This window comes from Homo sapiens, chromosome 7 (genome assembly GCF_000001405.40).
Source record: "Homo sapiens chromosome 7, GRCh38.p14 Primary Assembly".
NCBI classification, from domain to species: Eukaryota; Metazoa; Chordata; class Mammalia; order Primates; family Hominidae; genus Homo; species Homo sapiens.
This window is the reverse complement of record NC_000007.14, coordinates 43254922-43273850: the sequence shown is the minus strand read 5'-3', so window position 1 is coordinate 43273850 and position 18929 is coordinate 43254922. Positions and strand designations below refer to the sequence as shown.

Below are 18929 nucleotides of genomic sequence, written 5' to 3'. Positions count from 1 at the left end.
ATTTTACAACTTCTGTCATATATTAAGGGAAAATGGGAAATTATCCACCGTTGTTGTAAATATGACACAATTTCCCAATATTTGCTTATCTTTTTATTTTGCTTATTTTTTTAACTTACAAAACTTCAACATTTTATATTGTCAAATATCCTGATTTCTTTTCCATTGTTATCATTCTGTTATTTTAGGCTTAAAAGATTTCTGTCTCTAACTTATTTATCCATATTTTCTTTTGAGTTTTTATGATTTCATACTTTATGTTTCACTCAAATCTATCAGGGATTGAGGTATGGGTAAAAGAGGAAATATATCTTAAAGTTTTTTTCAAAGTAGTTAACTAATTGTATTAGTAATACTTATTGTTTAATATATTCTTTACTCAAATATTTTTTATTCTATCACTATTATTTACGAAATTTATATTAGGGTCAATTTCTGTTCAATTTATATAGTTCCACTAATCTGTCATTATGTTGCTGCACTCATACCATTTCAATCTATTTATTTATTTATCTTTATTTTTTTCAACTTTTAGATTCAGGGGTACACGTGGAGGTTTGTTGCTTGGGTATATTGTGTGATTCTGAGGTTTGGGGTACACGTGTTCCTGTCAACCAGGTACTGAGCATTGTACCCAGCAATTAGTTTTTCAACCCTTGCCCCACTCCCTCCATCCCCCTTCTAGTAGAACCCAGTTTCTACTGTTGCCATCTTTATGTCTGTGAGTACCCAATGTTTAGCTCCCACTTGTAGGTAAGAACATGTAGTATTTGGTTTTCTGTTCCTGCACTAATTTGCTTAGTATTAATGGCCTCCCGCTGCATGCATGTTGCTGCAAAGGACATGATTCATTCTTTTTTATGGCTGCCTAGTATTCCATGGTGTATATGTACCACATTTTCTTTATTCAGTCCACAACTGATGGACACCTAGGTTGAATACATGTCTTTGCTATTGTGAATAGTGCAGCGATGATCATGCATTTGCCTGTGTCTTTTTGGTGTAACGGTTTGTTTTCTTTTGGAAATACACAGAGTAATGGGATTGCTGGGACAAACGATAGCTCTGTTTTAAGTTCTTTTGGAAATCTCCAAACTGCTCTTCACAGTGGCTGAACTAATTTACATTCCCACCAGCAGTGTATAAATGTTCCCTTTTCTCCACAGCCATGCCATCATCTGTTTTTTGACCCTAATAATAGCCATCCTGACTGATGTGAGATGGTATCTCATTCTGGTTTTGATTTGCATTTCTCTGATGATTAGTGACACGGAGCATTTCTTCATATGTTTGCTGGCTGCTTATATGTCTTCTTTTGAGAAGTGTCTGTTCATGTCTTTTGCCCATTTTTTAATGGGGTTGTTTTTTGCTTGTTCAATTAAGTTTTTATAGATTTTAGATATTAGACTTTTGTTGGATGCATAATTTGCAAATATTTTCTCCCATTCTGTAGGTTGTCTATTCACTCTGTTGATAGTTTCTTTTGCCATGCAGAAGCTCTTTAGTTTAATAGGTTCCACTTGTCAACTTTTGTTTTTGTTGCAATTGCTTTTGAGGACTTATAAATTCTTTCCTAAGGCTGATGTCCAGAATGGTGTTTCCTAGGTTTTCTTCTAGGATTCTTATAGTTTGAGAATTTAAATCTTTAATCCATCTTGAGTTAATTTTTGCATATGGTGAGAGATAGGGATTCAGTTTCATTCTTCTGCTTGTGACTAGCCAGTTTTTCCAGTATCATTTATTAGGGTCTCCTTTCCCTATTGTTTATTTTTGTCAATTTTGTTGGAGATTACATGACTGTAGGGGGGTGGCCTTATTTCTGGGTGCCCTACTCTGTTGCATTGGTCTGGGTCTGTTTTTGTAGAAGTACTGTGCTGTTTTGGTTACTGTAGCCTTATAACACAGTTTGAAGTCAGGTAATGTGATGCCTCCAGTGTTGTTCTTTTTGCTTAGGATTTCTTTGGCTATTCAAGCTCTTTTTGGTTCCATATGAATTTTAACATAGTTTTTTCCAATTCTGTAAAAAATGACACTGATAGTTTGATAAGAATAGTGTTGTATCTGTGGATTGCTTTGTGAAATACGGCCATTTTAATAATACTGATTCTTTCAATCCACGAGCATGGGATGTTTTTCTATTTGATTCCGTCATCCATGATTTATTTTATCAGTGTTTTGTAGTTCTCCTTGTACAAATCTTTCACTTCTTTGGTTAGATGTATTCCTAGATATCTCAATTTTTTAATCTATTGTAAATTGGATTGCATTCTTAATTTGGCTCTCAGTTTGAACATGTATAGAAATGCTACTGATTTTTGTCCATTGATTTTGTACCCTACAACCTTGCTAAAATCGTTTATCAGTTCTAATAGCCTTTTGACAGAGTCCTTAGGGTTTTCTAAGTACAGAATCATATAATTCGGGAAGAAAGAGTTCGACTTCTTCTTTTCCTGTTTGGATGCCCCTTTCATTTCTTTCTCTTGCCTAACTGCTTTGGCTAGCACTTCCAGTACTATGTTGAATAGGTGAGAGTTGTATCCTTTTCTTGTTCCAGTTCTCAAAGGGAATATTTCCAGTTTTTGCTCATTCCATATGATGTTGTCAATTACTTTTTAAACATACATTAATGTTCAATGTGGATGTACATACATCCACACTTCTTTCCCCAAAGTTTCTTGGTTAAGTTTTCCACTCAGTCTTCTAGATAATTTGTGGAATTTTAGAATGAAATATATATACATACAACACATGTACATCAAATTATATAAATCTATCTCCTTGACATTTTTAGATTTGCATTAAACCTGTATATTAATTTGTAGAGAAGTGAAGTTATCTAAAGCTCAGTGTTTCCATCCAGCCACATGATGTACCTCTCAATTTCTTCCCATCTTTCAGGTCCTTTAGTGAAATTTTATGGTTTTCTTCAGAGAGTTTCCACATACTTCTTTTCAAAGTTATCTCTAGGTACTTTATAACTAAGATTTTCTTACTTTCATATTTTCCAATTTGATATCACTGGTGTAAGTGAAATCTATTGATATCTACCATACTTATTTTGTATATTGCCACATTATTTAACTCTTTTTAATTCTAATAATATTTAAGTTGAATCAGTGCAATTTTTTAGTTCAATAATTAAACATCTGCAAATGCTATATTGATTTTTTCTAATACCTTGGTTTGTTTTGGTAGAGTTTTTGCCAGCCCCTGAGATGGTCTCAATTATCCTTACCACCTGATGTTCACAGCATTATGAAGTGCCCTTCCACACTGAACCAGAGCTTGTCAGTGTGACCAGTAGAATTCAGCAGGAGTAACAATGTGTGACTTCTCAGGCTAAGTCATAAAGGCACTGCAGCTTCTACCTCAGTCTCCTGGCTCCCTTGTTTGTGGAGAGGCAGCTGCCATGCTTTGAGGATGCACATGCAGTCCTGTGGAGAGCCCGAGTTGCTAGCTGATACCTCCATCTGACAGTTTCCCTAGTTTGCCAGCCACACTAGTGAGACACATTGGAAGTGGGTCCTCCTGCCCTAGTCAACCCATCAGATGACAGCAGCCCCAGCTGACATCTGACTTACAACCTTCTAAGAGATCCGAAGTCTAAACCTGCCAGCCAAGCTGCTGCTGAATGACTGACCGGCAGAAACCACGAGAGACTATTAAATGATTGCTGTTTTGAGTCACTAAATTTTAGGGCTGATTTGTTATGGTTTATTATTAAGCAACAGATAACACACAGAATTTCAAAAGAATGTAAGTGAAAAAAATCCAACAATTATTGAGCACTTACTATATTCTAGTAACAGGGCTTACAACAATGCTAATGTGGACATTCCTATTTCAGAGATGAAGATATAGAGGCTGAGAAATATTAAGTTAAAGCACGGCTTCTCAACCTTGTTTTACATTTTGAGCCAGATAATTCTTTGTTATGGCGGTTGTCCCATGCATTGCAGGGTTTCTAGCTTCTACACATCAGATTTCAGTAGCAGTCACCCAATTGCAAAAACCAAAAAATGCCTCCAGACATTGCCAATTGTCTCCTCAGAGGTAACCCTACCCTCACTTCCCGCCCCCAGCTTTGTATTCTTGCATGCATTAGACTACTTGTGTGTTATCAGACAGCCTAGACTTTTGACAACAGTTAAAAAGGCTCTAGGAATGCCCCAGTTTTCTACTTCCTGGTTATTCTGTAGGCTCTGTGGTGGGGTATTCCCAGATGGATGGTCTTGCCTTTCAATTCGTTTATTTCCTCCAGCACTCCAATCATCCTCTCCAGCTTCCTTCACTCCTATATTGAAACTGTCTTCCTAACCCAAATATGCTTCAAGTGTGAATTTCACATGTGTCTTTCTGGTTCCGACAATAGAGTGTTATTCTATGTTAGTGAAATGCCATGGGCGTGCATTTGAGGGGCACCCAGGCCTTGTCTCATAGAAAACCTCCTGGAGGAATCAACTCATCCAGTGAAGTGTGTGTCAGGGAAAGGGATCGGGGGCAACTTCAAACTGCTGCAGACAAAAAGAGCAGAATATGTGAGGGTTCTGTGGCCAATAGGAGCATGGCACATGCCAGCTGTGCTGTATTCAGTACAACTAAAACAGAGAATATTTCCAGCATGCTTGTTGTAGGAGATGGCAAGGTGTATGAATGGCAGGCAAACTGAAGAAGTAAGTAGAAGCCTGACAAAGGAAAGCAGTAGATGGTTTCCAGAGATGTCAAGAGGTAGATGGTCAGAACTTTATTAAATATTTCAGTGGTGAGGGAGAGGATGAATTAAGAATGGCACTCTGAGCTCTGACATGAGAGAGTGGGTAGAGGGTGGCACTGTTTACTTAAAAAAATGAACATAAGCCTAGGCAACATACCAAGACCCCATCTCTACAAAAAATAGAAAATAGAAAAATCAGCAAGGGTTGGTGGCGCACACTGGTAGTCCCAGTAGCTACTCAGGAGGCTGAGGTGGGAGGATCACTTGAGCCCAGGAGGTTGAAGCTGCAGTGAGCCATGATCACACTACTGCACTCCAGCCTGGGTGACAGAGCAAGATCTTGTTAAAAAAACAAACAAACAAACAACAACAACAACAACAAAACACAGGTCAGGAGAAGATGACACATTTGGAGTTTGTCATGCCTGAGGCACATGAAGTGGAAAAGCCCAGTGGACAGTTAGAAATGTGGATCTGACTCTCAGGAGCCCCCAGGGATTCATCATCCTACAGAGGAGTGTTTCTCAGTGTTGGCACTGGTAACATTTTGGGGCAGATACAGCTTTGCTGTGAGGCTGTCCAGGGCACAGTGGGATGTGCAGCTGCATCCCCGGCCTCTGCCCACTAGGTCCAGTAGCATGTCCAAGTCATGACAATGAAACATGTCTCCAGACATTGCCAAATGTCCGCGGGGGACAAAATCACCCCCAGGTGAGAGCCTCTGGGTTAAAGGTTTCACAGGGAATAAGGCTGCTAGGCTGCAGATCTTTGATTCAAATCTTGGTGGCCTATCTCTAAACTACAGCCCTTCTCCACTGAGCCATGTGTAAGGATCCCTGCCACACACTGTTACAGAACACTGCGAGTCTCCTTCTAGGATTTATCTCATTGGCTTATGTAACTAATTCTGTAGCTGAGTTGGAAATGTCTGTTTCCCCGAGGAGAAAGTAACCACCCTGAGGGCAGAGACTCTGCACACACAGGATGCCTAGTAGAGTCTCTTGCACTTTAGAGAGACTCAATGAATATTTTAAAATAAATGCGTAAATTATAAGTTGTTGGTTTTGATTTACTAATAATTTAAAGGGATTCTAGCACCAATATGAAGTGGCAAGTGTTCTATATTTGTCTGTGATAACTATCAGGTGAATTTTGTACTGCTTGAAAGTTTATCAGTATTCATTTGTGAAATGGTGTGGTTCTGAAAACTTCATTAAAAATTATCTGGCAAGTTTTATAGTTATGTTCATAACTTCAGTGTTTTGAAATTTTCTACTTCTTAAGTATGGTAATTTTCTAAGGAAATTAACTCATCAAGTCTTTCAAATATATTATTAAAATTCTGAACATAAAAATTTCTATTAATATTTCTCTTTGAACTATACATAATTTTATATTCCTTTTCTGATTCTAATCATGAATATTTGTTTTCTCTTAATTAGCTATGCCAGAGTGTTTGGTCCCCCAAGTAAATATTTTTAGATTTATTTATCAATGCCACTGTTTCACTATATTTTGTTTATAGTTTATTAATTTCTTCTTATATTTTAGTTATTTAATTTTTCTTTCCCTAGGTTTCTTTGGCTGAGGGTTTTCTAATTTTTTTTTACTTGAACACAGTTATTTTCTTTTCTTTCATCTTAAATAATAAAAACATACAGAACTGTGAATTTTTCCCTGTAAATAATTTTAGTCACATCTGCTAAGTTTTAATGTATAATTATTATATTGACATTATTTCCTAAATAGTCAAATTATGGCTTCAATTTCCCCTTTGGCCAATAGTACTTTTCAATCTGAAAATGTTTGAAATTTTAAAAATCATTAATGTCTAATTGTATTGTGATCGGAAAATGTGCCTTCAATAATTTCTCCTTTTTGAAATTTATTGAGGATGTTCTCATGCCCCAGTAGTATATTGCTAATTGTATAGATGCTTTATAGATCCTTGCAATGATGACATAGTCTATTTCATGGCAAAATGGTCAGTACAAGTTTTAATTGTAAATATTATTTGATTTTATGTAATATTATTTATCTTTTTTATGTGCAAAATAATGAATTAAAACTCCCAACACAATTACATACATTTCTGCTAACTTCTAGCAGTTTTTGCTTTACCTATTTTGATTCTATACTATTAGGAGTGTAGAGGATCATGGTCCTTTGTCACTGTAGATTATAACTTCATCAATACAGAATAATCAACTTTGTCCCATTAAACACTTCTCCTCCTCAAATCTCACTAGATTTCATATTAAGCTGACATTTATTTATTTTACTTTTATGTCTTTACTTTTAATCATTCCTTTTGCGTGTCTCTTTTAAATAGAATATAGATGAATTTTGTAGTTTGGTCCAGTTTGAGAATTTTTCTGTTGTTAGGTGATATTTATTTACATTTATTCTTGAAGGAGGTGTGCGGTATAATAAAAATATATATTTTATTTGGTCTTTATTTGTTCCTAGTTCCTGGCATAGAAGTTCTTAAAACATTTCCTGAGGCCGGGCACGGTGGCTCACGCCTGTAATCCCAGCACTTTGGGAGGCCGAGGCGGGTGGATCATGAGGTCGGGAGTTCAAGACCAGCCTGGCCAAGATGGTGAAACTCCGTCTCTATTAAAAATACAAAAAATTAGCTGGGCGTGGTGGCAGATGCCTGTAAGCCCAGCTACTCAGGAGGCTGAGGCAGAGAATTGCTTGAACCCGGGAGGCGGAGGACGCAGTGAGCCAAGATCGCACCACTGCACTCCAGCCTGAGTGACAGAGTGAGACTCTGTCTCAAAAAATGAAAACAAAACAAAACAAACAAAAAAACACTTCCTGAGTGAGAGAAGTGTCTTTTGTTACTCATAATCAGCCCCTTCACCCCTACCAGAGTTTATGGTAATGAGGTAGCTCTTGGTAGGTCCCTAGACAGCTTCAGGATGGGGGGCTGTCAACAGAGGAAACAACCATGTGACAAGAGGGTGGAAATTTTTAGCCCGCCCCTTGACCTTGGGAGAATGGGAAGGGGTAGAGACTGATCCAACAATCAATGGCCAGTGATTTAATCAATCATGCCTACATAATGCAGCCTCCATAAAAAACCCTAAATGATGTGGCCCAGGGGTGCTCCCGAGCTGGTGAATACACCTGGGTGCTGGGAGGGTGGTGCACCCCACCCTCCAGAATCCACACCCCCCCTCAAGTTTCCTCTTCATCTGGCTGTTCATTTGTACCCTTGATGAGAAGCTGTCATAGTAAGTATAGTTCTTCCCTGTGTTTTATAAGTCATTCTAGCAGATCATTGAACCTGAGGGGGGAGTTTTGGGAACCTTCAAATTTGTAGTTGCTTGGGCAAAAGCATGGGAATCCTGGGAACCCTGTTTTCGGCTGATGCCTGAAGTGGGAGCAGCCTTGTGAGAATGTGCCTTTAACCTGTAGGATTTGGGCTAACTCCAGGAGTGAGTGCCAGAATTGATTTGAATTGTTGGATACCCAGTTGGTCTCAGGGAACTGGAGAATTAGTGTGGAAGACCAGATGTTTGGTGTCAGGAGTGGTGTCAGAAAAAAGACAACAAAAGGTGTTTTAAACTTATTAGCATGAACCTTATGAAATTGCCATTTTTGTAGGTCAAGATAGCAAAGTATGAACAATTTTATACATTTCAACATAAACTTATGTTATCTGATATTATAGCTTCTCTTTTTATGCTTCTGTAATAAAATCTGTGCTCTTCTTTAGGCTGTCTGCTCTCAGCTACCCAGCACAAGGCAGGATGACACTTCCTGGCCCGCTGTGGTTAGGAGGGCCATGGGACCAATTCTGGCCAATGAGTTGTAAGCAGAGTAGGTGTAGCTTTCATGCTGAGGTGTTTAAATGGCTGTGCAGAACCCCAGAATTCTCCTTACCTCTGAGATGGAAACTGGCAACCTCAGAGATGGTGGCTGTCACCAGGACCAAGAGCGGCTAGAATGAGCAGAGCTACCCTCCCGACCCATAGACTAGGACAATGAGCAAAACATGGTCACCTGTTTAAGCCACTAAAATATGAGGGTTGTTTGTTTCCATGATAGAAGCTAGTGCATCCTGACCTACTTTCTGTCCATTTTGTTTTCCTAATTTCTTGACTATATGAAAATATACTTTTGCATCCATATTATCAAGTTTTCACGGTAAATAAGAAAAAATGGAGGAGCAAATTCAGTATTCCAAGTCATCTAGACTAATTATCCTCAGATATTTTAGAAGGGGAAGCAGACTGCAAGAACTATTTCTCGACAATAGCAATTTTTTTTTTTTTTTTTTTTTAAACCGAGTCTCACTCTGTCGCCCGGGCTGGAGTGCAGTGGTGCGATCTCGGCTCACTGCAAGCTCCGCCTCCTGGGTTCACGCCATTCTCCTGCCTCAGCCACCGGAGTAACTGAGACTACAGGTGCCCGCCACCACACCTGGCTAATTTTTTGTATTTTTAGTAGAGACGGGGTTCACTGTGTTAGCCAGGATGGTCTTGGTCTCCTGACCTTGTGATCTGCCCGCCTTGGCCTCCCAAAGTGCTGAGATTACAGGCGTGAGCCACCGCGCCTGGCTGACAATAGTAATTATTTTTTACAAAAGACAGATGCTCTATTGAAGAAAAACAAACATAAAAGCAAAATGTAGAGATTTATGGCTAAAGTCAGTGTGGTATACATAGAAAATGGAATACTATTCAATCTTTAAAAGGAGTAAAATTCCGTTATTTGCAATAACCTGGATGAACGTGGAGGATGTTCAGGTTATATGTTAAGCAACATAGCCAGGCACAGAAAGACATATGCTGCATGATCTCACTTATATGTGGAATCTAAAAAAGTCAAATTCACAGAAGCAGAGAGTAGAATGGTAGTTACCAGAGGCTGGGGGAAGGGGGAGGGATGGGGAGATGTTGGTCAAAAGGTATAATGTTTCCGTCAGTTAGAATAAGTTTTAGAGATCTATTGCGAAGTATGGTGACTGTAGTTAATAATAAGGTGTTGCATATTTCAAAACTGCAAAAACAGTAGATTTTAAATGTTCTCACCACAAAAAATAACTATGTAAGGATGGATATATTAATTAGCTTGTCTGAATCATTCCACAATATAAACGTATATAAAAACATAACATTTCATCCCGCAAATATATATTTGTTGGGATAATCCCACAGTTATTATTTGTCAAGTAAAATTTTTAAAAATTAGAGATTTGTGCATTTTTATCATTACTTTGTGATTTGTGAATGGTAAATAATAAAATTAAGAGGTAAGGAGTGGAGAAACATGAACTTAAATAAAAACAATAATAATGCTAGAAAGAATACAACAAATCCTGCAGCCTCTTCTTCTTTCTCTTTCTTTGGTCCCCTCTCTCTCCCTCCCTCCCTTCCTTTTGTCTCCTTCCCACCTTCCTCCCTCCCTTCTTCTCTGTTTCCTAGTATTTCTCCTTATGTTTTCCTTCCTATTAACAGAGCTCAGGGCCAGGAGCAGTGGCTTATGCCTGTAATCCCAGCACTTTGGGAGGCTGAGGCGGGCGGATCACAAGGTCAGGAGTTCAAGACCAGCCTGGCCAATATGGTGAAACCCTGTCTCTACTGAAAATATAAAAATTAGCCGGCCATAGTGGCACACGCCTGTAGTCCCAGCTACTCGGGAGGCTGAGGCATGAGAATTGCTTGAAACTGGGAGGCGGAGGTTGTAGTGAGCCAAGATGGCACCATTGCACTCCAGCCTGAGTGACAGAGTGAGACTCCATCTCAAACAACAACAACAACAACAAACAGAGCTCAGATTATTTTAGCAATTCCATGGCTTGTTCTGCAGTGCTATGCTGACAGGAATATTTGTAATTTTCTTTAATTCTTTTGTGTTTAATAAGTTAATGAAAACCCCCATCTCTATGTCCTTAAGAGGCAAAAATCTTTGAAGTTTTGAAGCTTTTAGATGCTTCAATAAAATTCCTGTTTCCTCTCTGAGAAAAATAACAATTTTTCTCTCTTTAGAATGTGGAAATTGAACTGTATTCTTTTCATCGCACAGGTAAGTAATTGCGGAAAATGCAGATAAGAAGAAATTATGCAAAATCCTGCTAGCCATCATAACCACTCTTGTCATTTTGATATCAATTCTTTTAAATATAACTATTACATACAAATGTGTAGCCTTCTGTTTTCAACAGACATGTGATGTGACTGTTCATAAATGGGTGGAAGCGACCTCCTTGTACTCAGATCAAGCCATATATGTGTCATGTAAGAGTCTGAGGATGTGATTGAATGGCAGGAGGGCCTGGGGACTGGGAAGTAGGGAGAAGGTGGAAGTGCAAATGGACAAGGATAGTGGCCCAGGGCTGTATACTTTACTTATAGAACATCTCCGGTCTATTTATAGTAGCTATTCAGAGGAAGCAAAGGAGGAAATGGCATTTTAAATGGTAAAGTTATTATTTTTAATAGTTTGTTTCCCCCTAGGAATGCATGTTAACCTCATTACTGCATTGAAGACTCTTTGGAGGAGAAAACTACTTTTCATAGCTTAGTTTTTGTGAGGTAACTGCTAAGTAAGTAATTATAGATTCATTTGAAGGCATCATAACACCAGGGAAAGAACATAGTTTTAAAATCATGAAGACTGGGTCTGAATCTCATCTCTGCCTCCATAGCTATAGGGTCCTGGGAAAGCCCAGGACTTATCCCTGCAGCCTCAGTTTCATCATATGTGAAATAATATCATCAATACCTTGTAAGCTGCTGTGAATGTTAAATTAGATGAAATCTATAAAGTGGCTGATATACAGATATCATTCAATGAATTATAGCCATTGTTTTCTTTTTTCTTGTAGCCTCAATATTTATTGATTTCTTTAGGTTATACACACACACACACACACGCACACATACATATATATATATTTTTTGAGACAGTGTCTCATTCTGTCACCCAGGGTGGAGTGTAGTGGCGCAATCTCAGCTCACTGCAACCTCCATCTCCTGGGTTCAAGCAATTCTCATGCCTCAGCCTCCCAAGTAGCTGGGATTACAGGTGTGTTCCACCATGCTTGGCTAATTTTTGTGTTTTTAGTAGAGACGGGGTTTCACCATACTGTCCAGGCTGGTCTTGAACTCCTGGTCTCAAGTGATTCTCCTGCCTTGGCTTCACACAGAGCTGGGATTACAGGCATAAACCACTGCACTGGACCAGGTTTGTAATTTTTTACTGACTAATTTGGTTAAGCAAGAAATAAGTAACACTGAAAAATTAAAAAAAATAAAAAATAAAAAATAAAAAACAAAACAAAGCAAAAACCTGCCAGTTACTCTTTTGTTATGAGACAGAAGCACTCATTGATGGGCCCCTTACTGTCACAATAAAGATATGATTGATATGGCCAAAATTCAGCAACCACTGAAATCTGAATTTTCGCTTTGTCAGTAGCCACTTGGTAAATAACATCACTGTCACAGAACAAAACGCTTTCCAGTTTGTCCCCTGCTGGTGTGCTTATCCCGTGTGTTTAACTGAAGGTACCATGTAATTGGGGTGGAGTCCGTGCCACATGTTCCTGGAGTTCAGAGCTGCCCGGTCCTGTACCAGGGGCAGCCAGGTCACTCTGCACCAGCTGCATTTAACCCCCAAGGGTTTAAACTGCCTTGCACTTGGGGCAGAGCTTCCAAGGGCCACTAGGGGGCAGCAAACATGTGAGAAAGAGCAAATAGAAGAGAACAAATCCGACGAGGAAGACATGGAAGTCATACTCCTCAGGAAAAAGGTTCTGCCCTCTTCAAAGAACATGCTTGGGATGCTACTCACAGCACAGCAACAGAACTGGAGCTCTAGACATAAGGCTCCTGTTTAAGGGGAAAAAAAGGCAATTTCTTTACATCAAGACAAACTACTTTTCCTATGCCAATAATTTTCAAATATTCATCACTAGCCATAACTTCTCTTATCAGTTCCAGGTCCCTATGGCCACTTGAATGCCTCAGTCTCCTGCGACTCATCCTCATTATACTTCCTTGTAAGCAACCTAGTGCAGAGCCCAAGAACTTGTTCCCTGGAGCCACACTGTCTGGGTTCCAATCCTACTTCAGCATTTACCAATTAATGCTTTGGGCAAGTTAATTAATTTCTTAATTTCCTCATCTGTAAAACTGGGGCAAAAATTGTACCAACCTCTCACTCTTGTAAAAGAGGTTAATGTTTGCAAACTTTCTTAGAATAGTGCTTGGCACACAATAGGCACTATGTGAATGCTTGTTGAATAAAAATAAATAATTCTTGCTCCTTTTCACAGTTTCCTTCATCAGTAAATGGCACCTTCATCCACCCAACTAGATGAAACCTACAAGTCAGTCTTGATACCCCTGTGTCCCTCATCTCCCACATCCAAGCAATGACTAAGTCCTATGACTTCTATCTACTAAATCACTAAATCAACCTTACATCTGTCCACCTCTCTCCATCTTCACAGATACCATCAACTAGTCCAAGCCACCATCATTTCTCACCTGAGCCACTCCTATGGCCTCCTGGTATCTCCTCAGCTACTCTGGTGCCTCTCTACTTTATCCAGAATTTTTCAAACACAAATTTGCTGCTTCATGACAGCAGAAGTGATCTGCACAGCTTAAAACACTTGAAAATCTTATTTTTCTTAGAATGAAAACAATAATCCATATTGTGTCCTATAATGGCTAGTGTGGCTCATCTCTTTTCCTTGCTCCCTGTGTTGCACCTATCTTGCCACTTTTCGGTCTTTCCACGTGAAGTGTTTTCTTTTGCAATGGGGGCTTTGCATATACCAGGAACATCTTCCCTTCTCAGTGCCTACTTAACATCTCACGCTTCTGATCTTAGTTCAGATAGTTCTTTCTTCAGAAAGCCTGTCTTGATCCCTTAACCAGATTGTACCCTCTATTATCTGTCCTCAGAGCATGGTGTATACATCCTCCACAAATTCTTTCTCAACTGGGGATGCCTTTCCATTGCCTTTAGGCATTCATTGTTCTGATAAGAAGTCAGCCATAATTTTTTGTCATTATTCCTCTATATGCAACATATCATTTTTTCCTGTGGTTGCTTTTATATTTTCTTTATCTTTGGTTTTCAGAAGTTTGACTATGATGTGCCTGGGTGTGGTTTTATTTGTGTCTCTACTACTTAGAATTCACTGAGATTCTTGAATCTATAGATTGATATTTTCTCATTGTATCCCATATATTTCAGCTGTTATTTCTTTAAATATGTTTTCTGGCCCATTCTCTCTCTCATTATTCTAGGATTGCAACTACTCACATTTTAGGCCATTTAATAGGTCACTGATTGATGATGGGTAAAGTGTTTTTAAATATTTTTTTTCCCTGTGCTTTAGTTTGAATAATTTCTATTAACCATTCTTTAAGTTCACTAATCTTTTCTTTCAGTTTCTGTTCTGCTGTTAAGCCTATTCAATCCATTATTTACATCAGATGTTTATTTTTACTCTAGAATTTCATTTGTTTCTTTTTTATGGCTCCCATTTCTCTGTTGTAATCCCCCAACTATTTATTCATTCTGGCCATCTTTTTCTGAACATCCTTGAATATATTTACAGTAGATGTTTTAAAGTCTTTCTCTGCTAGTTCCAGTATCTGATCCATCTGTGGGCCTGCTTCTGTTGATAGTATTTTTTCTATTTATTTATCATATTATCTTGCTTCTTTCCATGTTTTATAACTCTAAAAATTATATATTGAACGGTTTTTTTTTTTGGACATGGAGTCTCACTCTGTTGCCCAGGCTGGAGCGCAGCACTGCGATCTCAGCTCACTGCAACCTCCACCTCCTGAGTTCAAGTGATTCTCCTGCCTCAGCCTCCTGAGTAGCTGGGACTACAGGCATGCACCACCACACCTGGCTAATGTTTGTATTTTTAGTAGAGACAGGGTTTCGCCATGTCGGCCAGGCTGGTCTCGAAGTCCTAACCTTAGGTGATCCCCCCTCCTCTGCCTCCCAAGGTGCTGGAATTACAGGTTGAGCTGCTGCTCCTGGCCAAAGTGGACATTTTTTGTAGAAGAATAGTGCAGACTGAAGCATACTATTGTTTGTTTTGTTTTCCTTGAGAGTGCTGACTTTTTCCCATATCTGGGGGCTAAGGTAAAAGAGATCATTCATATTTCACTAAGAGTTGAATTGGTAAAAACAAAAACAAAACAAAACAAAACAAAAAAAACAAACTGGGGTGCACTTCCCACTGCTAGATGTAGGGATTTTCTATCCAAGCTTTCACCCTACAGAAGCCATTCCCTACCATCAGCAATGTAACTGTTGCCCAACTCAAGACATTTGCCTCTGTTAGCTCCAACAAATAAAAATATGTCTCTTTTTGCCAACCAAAAACGACAGGGCCAACAACAACTCTATAAGCACAGGCAATTTAACAAGTACGTTTTCAGTTAGTGCCATTTTTAATTCTAATTATCTTCTGTTAGGTAAAGTGGAGGATTTCTAGCTTTGCTGGGCCAATACATTAAAAAACATTCCAAGTCTGTCCTGGTTGTCTATATTCCCATTCAAGTACACTGGCTTAATCCAGTTTTGGAGACATTCTTGACCAGGATCTACCTGTAAATGAAATATATAATTAGTTCCATAATCTGGTATCCATACGCCTCTCAGTCGCTTTATTGGCACGCTACACTAGAAAAACATGGGGCTTGGGGTTAAACTAATGTGGGTTTGAATGCTAGCTCCACTACTTTTTAATGGGTAATTCTTTTTTTTTATTTTTTTATTTTTTTTATTTTTTATTTTTTTGAGATGGAGTCTCACTCTTTTGCCCAGGCTGAAGTGCAGTGGTACAATCTCGGCTCACTGCAACCTCCGCCTCCCAGGTTCAAGCGATTCTCATGCCTTAGCCTCCCGAGTAGCTGGGACTACAGGCCATGTGCCACCACACCCGGCTAATTTTTTTGTATTTTTAGTAGAGACAGGGTTTCACCATGTTGGCCAGGCTGGTCTCAAACTCATGACCTCAGGTGATCCACCTGCCTTGGCCTCCCACAGTGCTGAGATTACAGGCGTGAGCCACCACGCCTGGCCTTTACTGTGTAATTCTAACATCGCATTAAACTTTCTGATTTTCAATTTTATTATCTATAAAATAGAGAAGACAATATCAGATTCATAGGATTGGGAAGACTAATGAGCATTTAATAATTAATGAGCACTTAATGAAAACCTGCCAAGTGCCAGGAATGTGAAGAGTGCTTCACCCATGTTATCCCACTGAATACCACTATTCTTCTTCTTATTTCTAATTGCATATGAATAAATTAAGACATAGAGAGGCAAAATAACTTGCCTCAAGTCATCTAAGTCAGCAGTGGTAAAACATGGATACAAACCTAAAAACTCTGAGCTGAGAGTCTATACTCTTTAGCCCTTGTGCTAAAATTCCTGGTACTCTGTTGAGGGTCACCTCAACACACTGCTTTTACTAGTAATAATTAATAGTGTTAACATTAACCACACAAATAAAATAAATCCCCCATCAAGTCTGCTTGGTCTAGAGGATGGTGCTTGGTTTTGGTTTTTCACCTCCTCTCCACTGGAGGTTTGCTGCTACCCCTCCATCAGAGTGGGAATCTGACCCACCCAAACCCCATGCCTCTTGCTTCGGGCCCTAATCTGCCTTACTAATATCAGCCTTCTTACCTTGAAGGCAGAACCCTGTTTTACTGCCTACGTTAGTGATTCCCAGAGTGTACCCAACTAATCATGAGTTACTAGGTGATAGGTTAGAAAAATGTGATATAAATGCTGTGTTTCAAAATCCCCTTCTTGCCACATATTAGACTCAGAGAGGTCCTGCAGCAAATACATCAGATCAATTCTGTTTAACTTGGTGTTTCCCAAATTTACTTGACCACAGAACTCTTTCATGACCAACTACTAATAGCTCACTTTGGAATATTAATTAACATATACACTGTATTTGTGTGAACATCTCTTTGTGTCTTGTGCATTCGGGTGGCCCCACAGCCCTTAGTACAATAATCAGTTAAGGCTCACAGAATGAATGAATGAATGATGAAAAGGATGAGTGAGTATCTAATAACAATCATTGTGACACTAACTGTTAATTTGGGAACGGAGAGAGAGTGGGCATTTTTCTTTTTTGTTTCCTGATTTCTGTATCAATATTCTAAAATGCTTAGCTCTCAAGTTAAAATTAAGTCTTACTTGGCATAAATAGAGTTGAATAAGTGATTGTCAATACATGGTTTATATACCTTACTTTCTTTCTTTTTTGTGAGGGAGGTTGTTGGGGGAGGGGAAGCCAGATGCAGAGAAGGGGGATGAAGAATAGCAGGTTCTGTTCTAGGAAATATTGCTTTTAGTGAAGTAGCTTTTACTTATCTTATCACTCCCTTGGCACACATTAAGCTAATGTACTACTTATTAATTATTCCAGTATTTCACCATGATATTATTAATCAGAAATTACTTTGATGTTCATCTTTTCTTTTCTTTTTTTTTTTTTTTTTGAGATGAAGTTTCCCTCTTTTTGCCCAGGCTAGAGTGCAGTGGCGCAATCTTGGCTCACTGCAACCTCTGCCTCCCAGGTTCAAGCGATTCTCCTGCTTCAGCCTCCCGAGTAGCTGGGATTACAGGCGCCTGCCACCACGGCTGGCTAATTTTGTATTTTTAGTAGCGACAGGGTTTCACCATGTTGGCCAGGCTGGTCTTGAACTCCTGACCTCAGGTGATCCATCTGCCTTGGCCTCCCAAAGTGCTGGGATTACAGGTGTGAACCACCGTACCCAGCCGATGTTCATCTTTACTATGTTTTTACTTGGCTTGAACTATAATGCTCCCTTTTCACAGTGCTCCATGAGATCTTCAATGACAAACACAGTTTCAAAACCCACATACTCACTTTTCACATTTACTATTTTGGATTGTATGATAAAGCAAACAGCCAATCATTATTCTTTGCCTTAAAGAATCTCAAAACATTTACGAGGGCCTACTATGGACCTAGAGCGTGAGTTACCTATCCAATAATAGAAGATGGTGTGTGAGATGGTGAGCAGCACACTTTAAAGATTAAAAGGACAGTTTTAGCCATGACAAACTTTAGCTTGTTTTATTTTTCATACCTCTTCATATTAAATAATTAGGTCAGATTTTCTTGGAAGCAGATGACATAACTTTTTATAATAAGGAAAAGAAATCCTTCCTTCTCACCTAATTAACTACAACTCACATTTTAGTTCCTTAACTTCAGTCCAAATAAAGTCCTCCCTCCTCCCTCATGCATGCTCATAGAGCTGTCTTCTTTCCCTTCAGAATATCCACATTTCCTGTGAGTGGAATGGCTTTTCTCCTTCACTAAACTGGAGTCCTGTTAATAAGCTGGGGCTGGCTTGGCTCATCATGTCATCTCCTGCACCTGGCACAGTGCATGGCCCAGAAGAGCCACGTCACAAATATTTATGAATAAATCTGTTGAAAAATACATATTTATTGAATAAATCTTGTTTTTTTTTTTTTTTTTAGACAGAGTTTCACTCTTGTCACCCAGGCTGGAGTGCAGTGGTGCGATCTTGGCTCACTGCAACCTCTGCCTCCTGGGTTCAAGTGATTCTTCTGCCTCAGCCTCCTGAGTAGCTGGGATTACAGGTGTGCAACCATATCCAGCTAATTTTTGTATTTTTGGTAGAGAGGGGGTTTCACCATGTTGGCCAGGCTGGTCTTGAACTCCTGACCTTAGGTGATCCACCCACCTCAGCCTCCAAAAGTGCTGGGATTACAGGCATGAGCCACCAGGCCCGGCCTGAATAAATCTTATTTTATGCAACGGTGACTGAAGTTATCAAAATAAGGTAATGTAGTACCTGGAACAGTACTTGACTCTCTCCAGCTATTTTTATTTCAAACTCTTTTGCTTGGAAGTAGAATTCCAGATGAGGTATTAGCATAGTTGGGTTAGCTCCTTGGATCACATTGGGCACACTTGTCAAGTTTTTGATGCCCTAATTCTTAAATAACATAGAGTTTGTGTTCTAACATCTAATTGTCTTAATTGACTAGGGCATTGTGTTTCCTCTTCTAAACTTGTAATTATGGATCACTGGACTGAGTGTAAAGTAGCTATTGCACAGCCCAGCAAGGAATGACAAAGCTATCCTTAGTCAACAATAGAAAAGGTGATGAGGGGAGCAAACCAAGA

At 39.2% G+C, this 18929-nt stretch overlaps 1 protein-coding gene across 17 annotated transcripts in view, besides 1 other annotated feature; it reads right to left on the bottom strand.

Annotated features, from left to right (window-relative positions):
• Positions 1-18929, bottom strand: part of HECW1 (HECT, C2 and WW domain containing E3 ubiquitin protein ligase 1) — a 453355-nt gene that overhangs the window by 292151 nt on the left and 142275 nt on the right. The window contains exon 1 of one of the 17 annotated variants that reach the window (XM_011515224.3): positions 3178-3789. The exons of the other annotated variants lie outside the window; for them this stretch is intronic. The gene's annotated coding sequence lies outside the window, so the exon portion shown is untranslated. Of the gene's footprint in view, positions 1-3177; positions 3790-18929 lie in introns of those variants that run through there. 17 annotated transcript variants of the gene reach the window in all.
• Positions 548-691: a silencer, noted in NCBI's record as "fragment chr7:43312759-43312902 (GRCh37/hg19 assembly coordinates)". NCBI's record gives its function as "represses an EF-1alpha promoter that drives an FKBP-Casp9 reporter gene in an ReSE screen in phorbol 12-myristate 13-acetate-treated (for megakaryocytic differentiation) K562 erythroleukemia cells {active_cell/tissue: K562(+PMA)}" and the evidence as "EXISTENCE:reporter gene assay evidence [ECO:0000049][PMID:32094911]".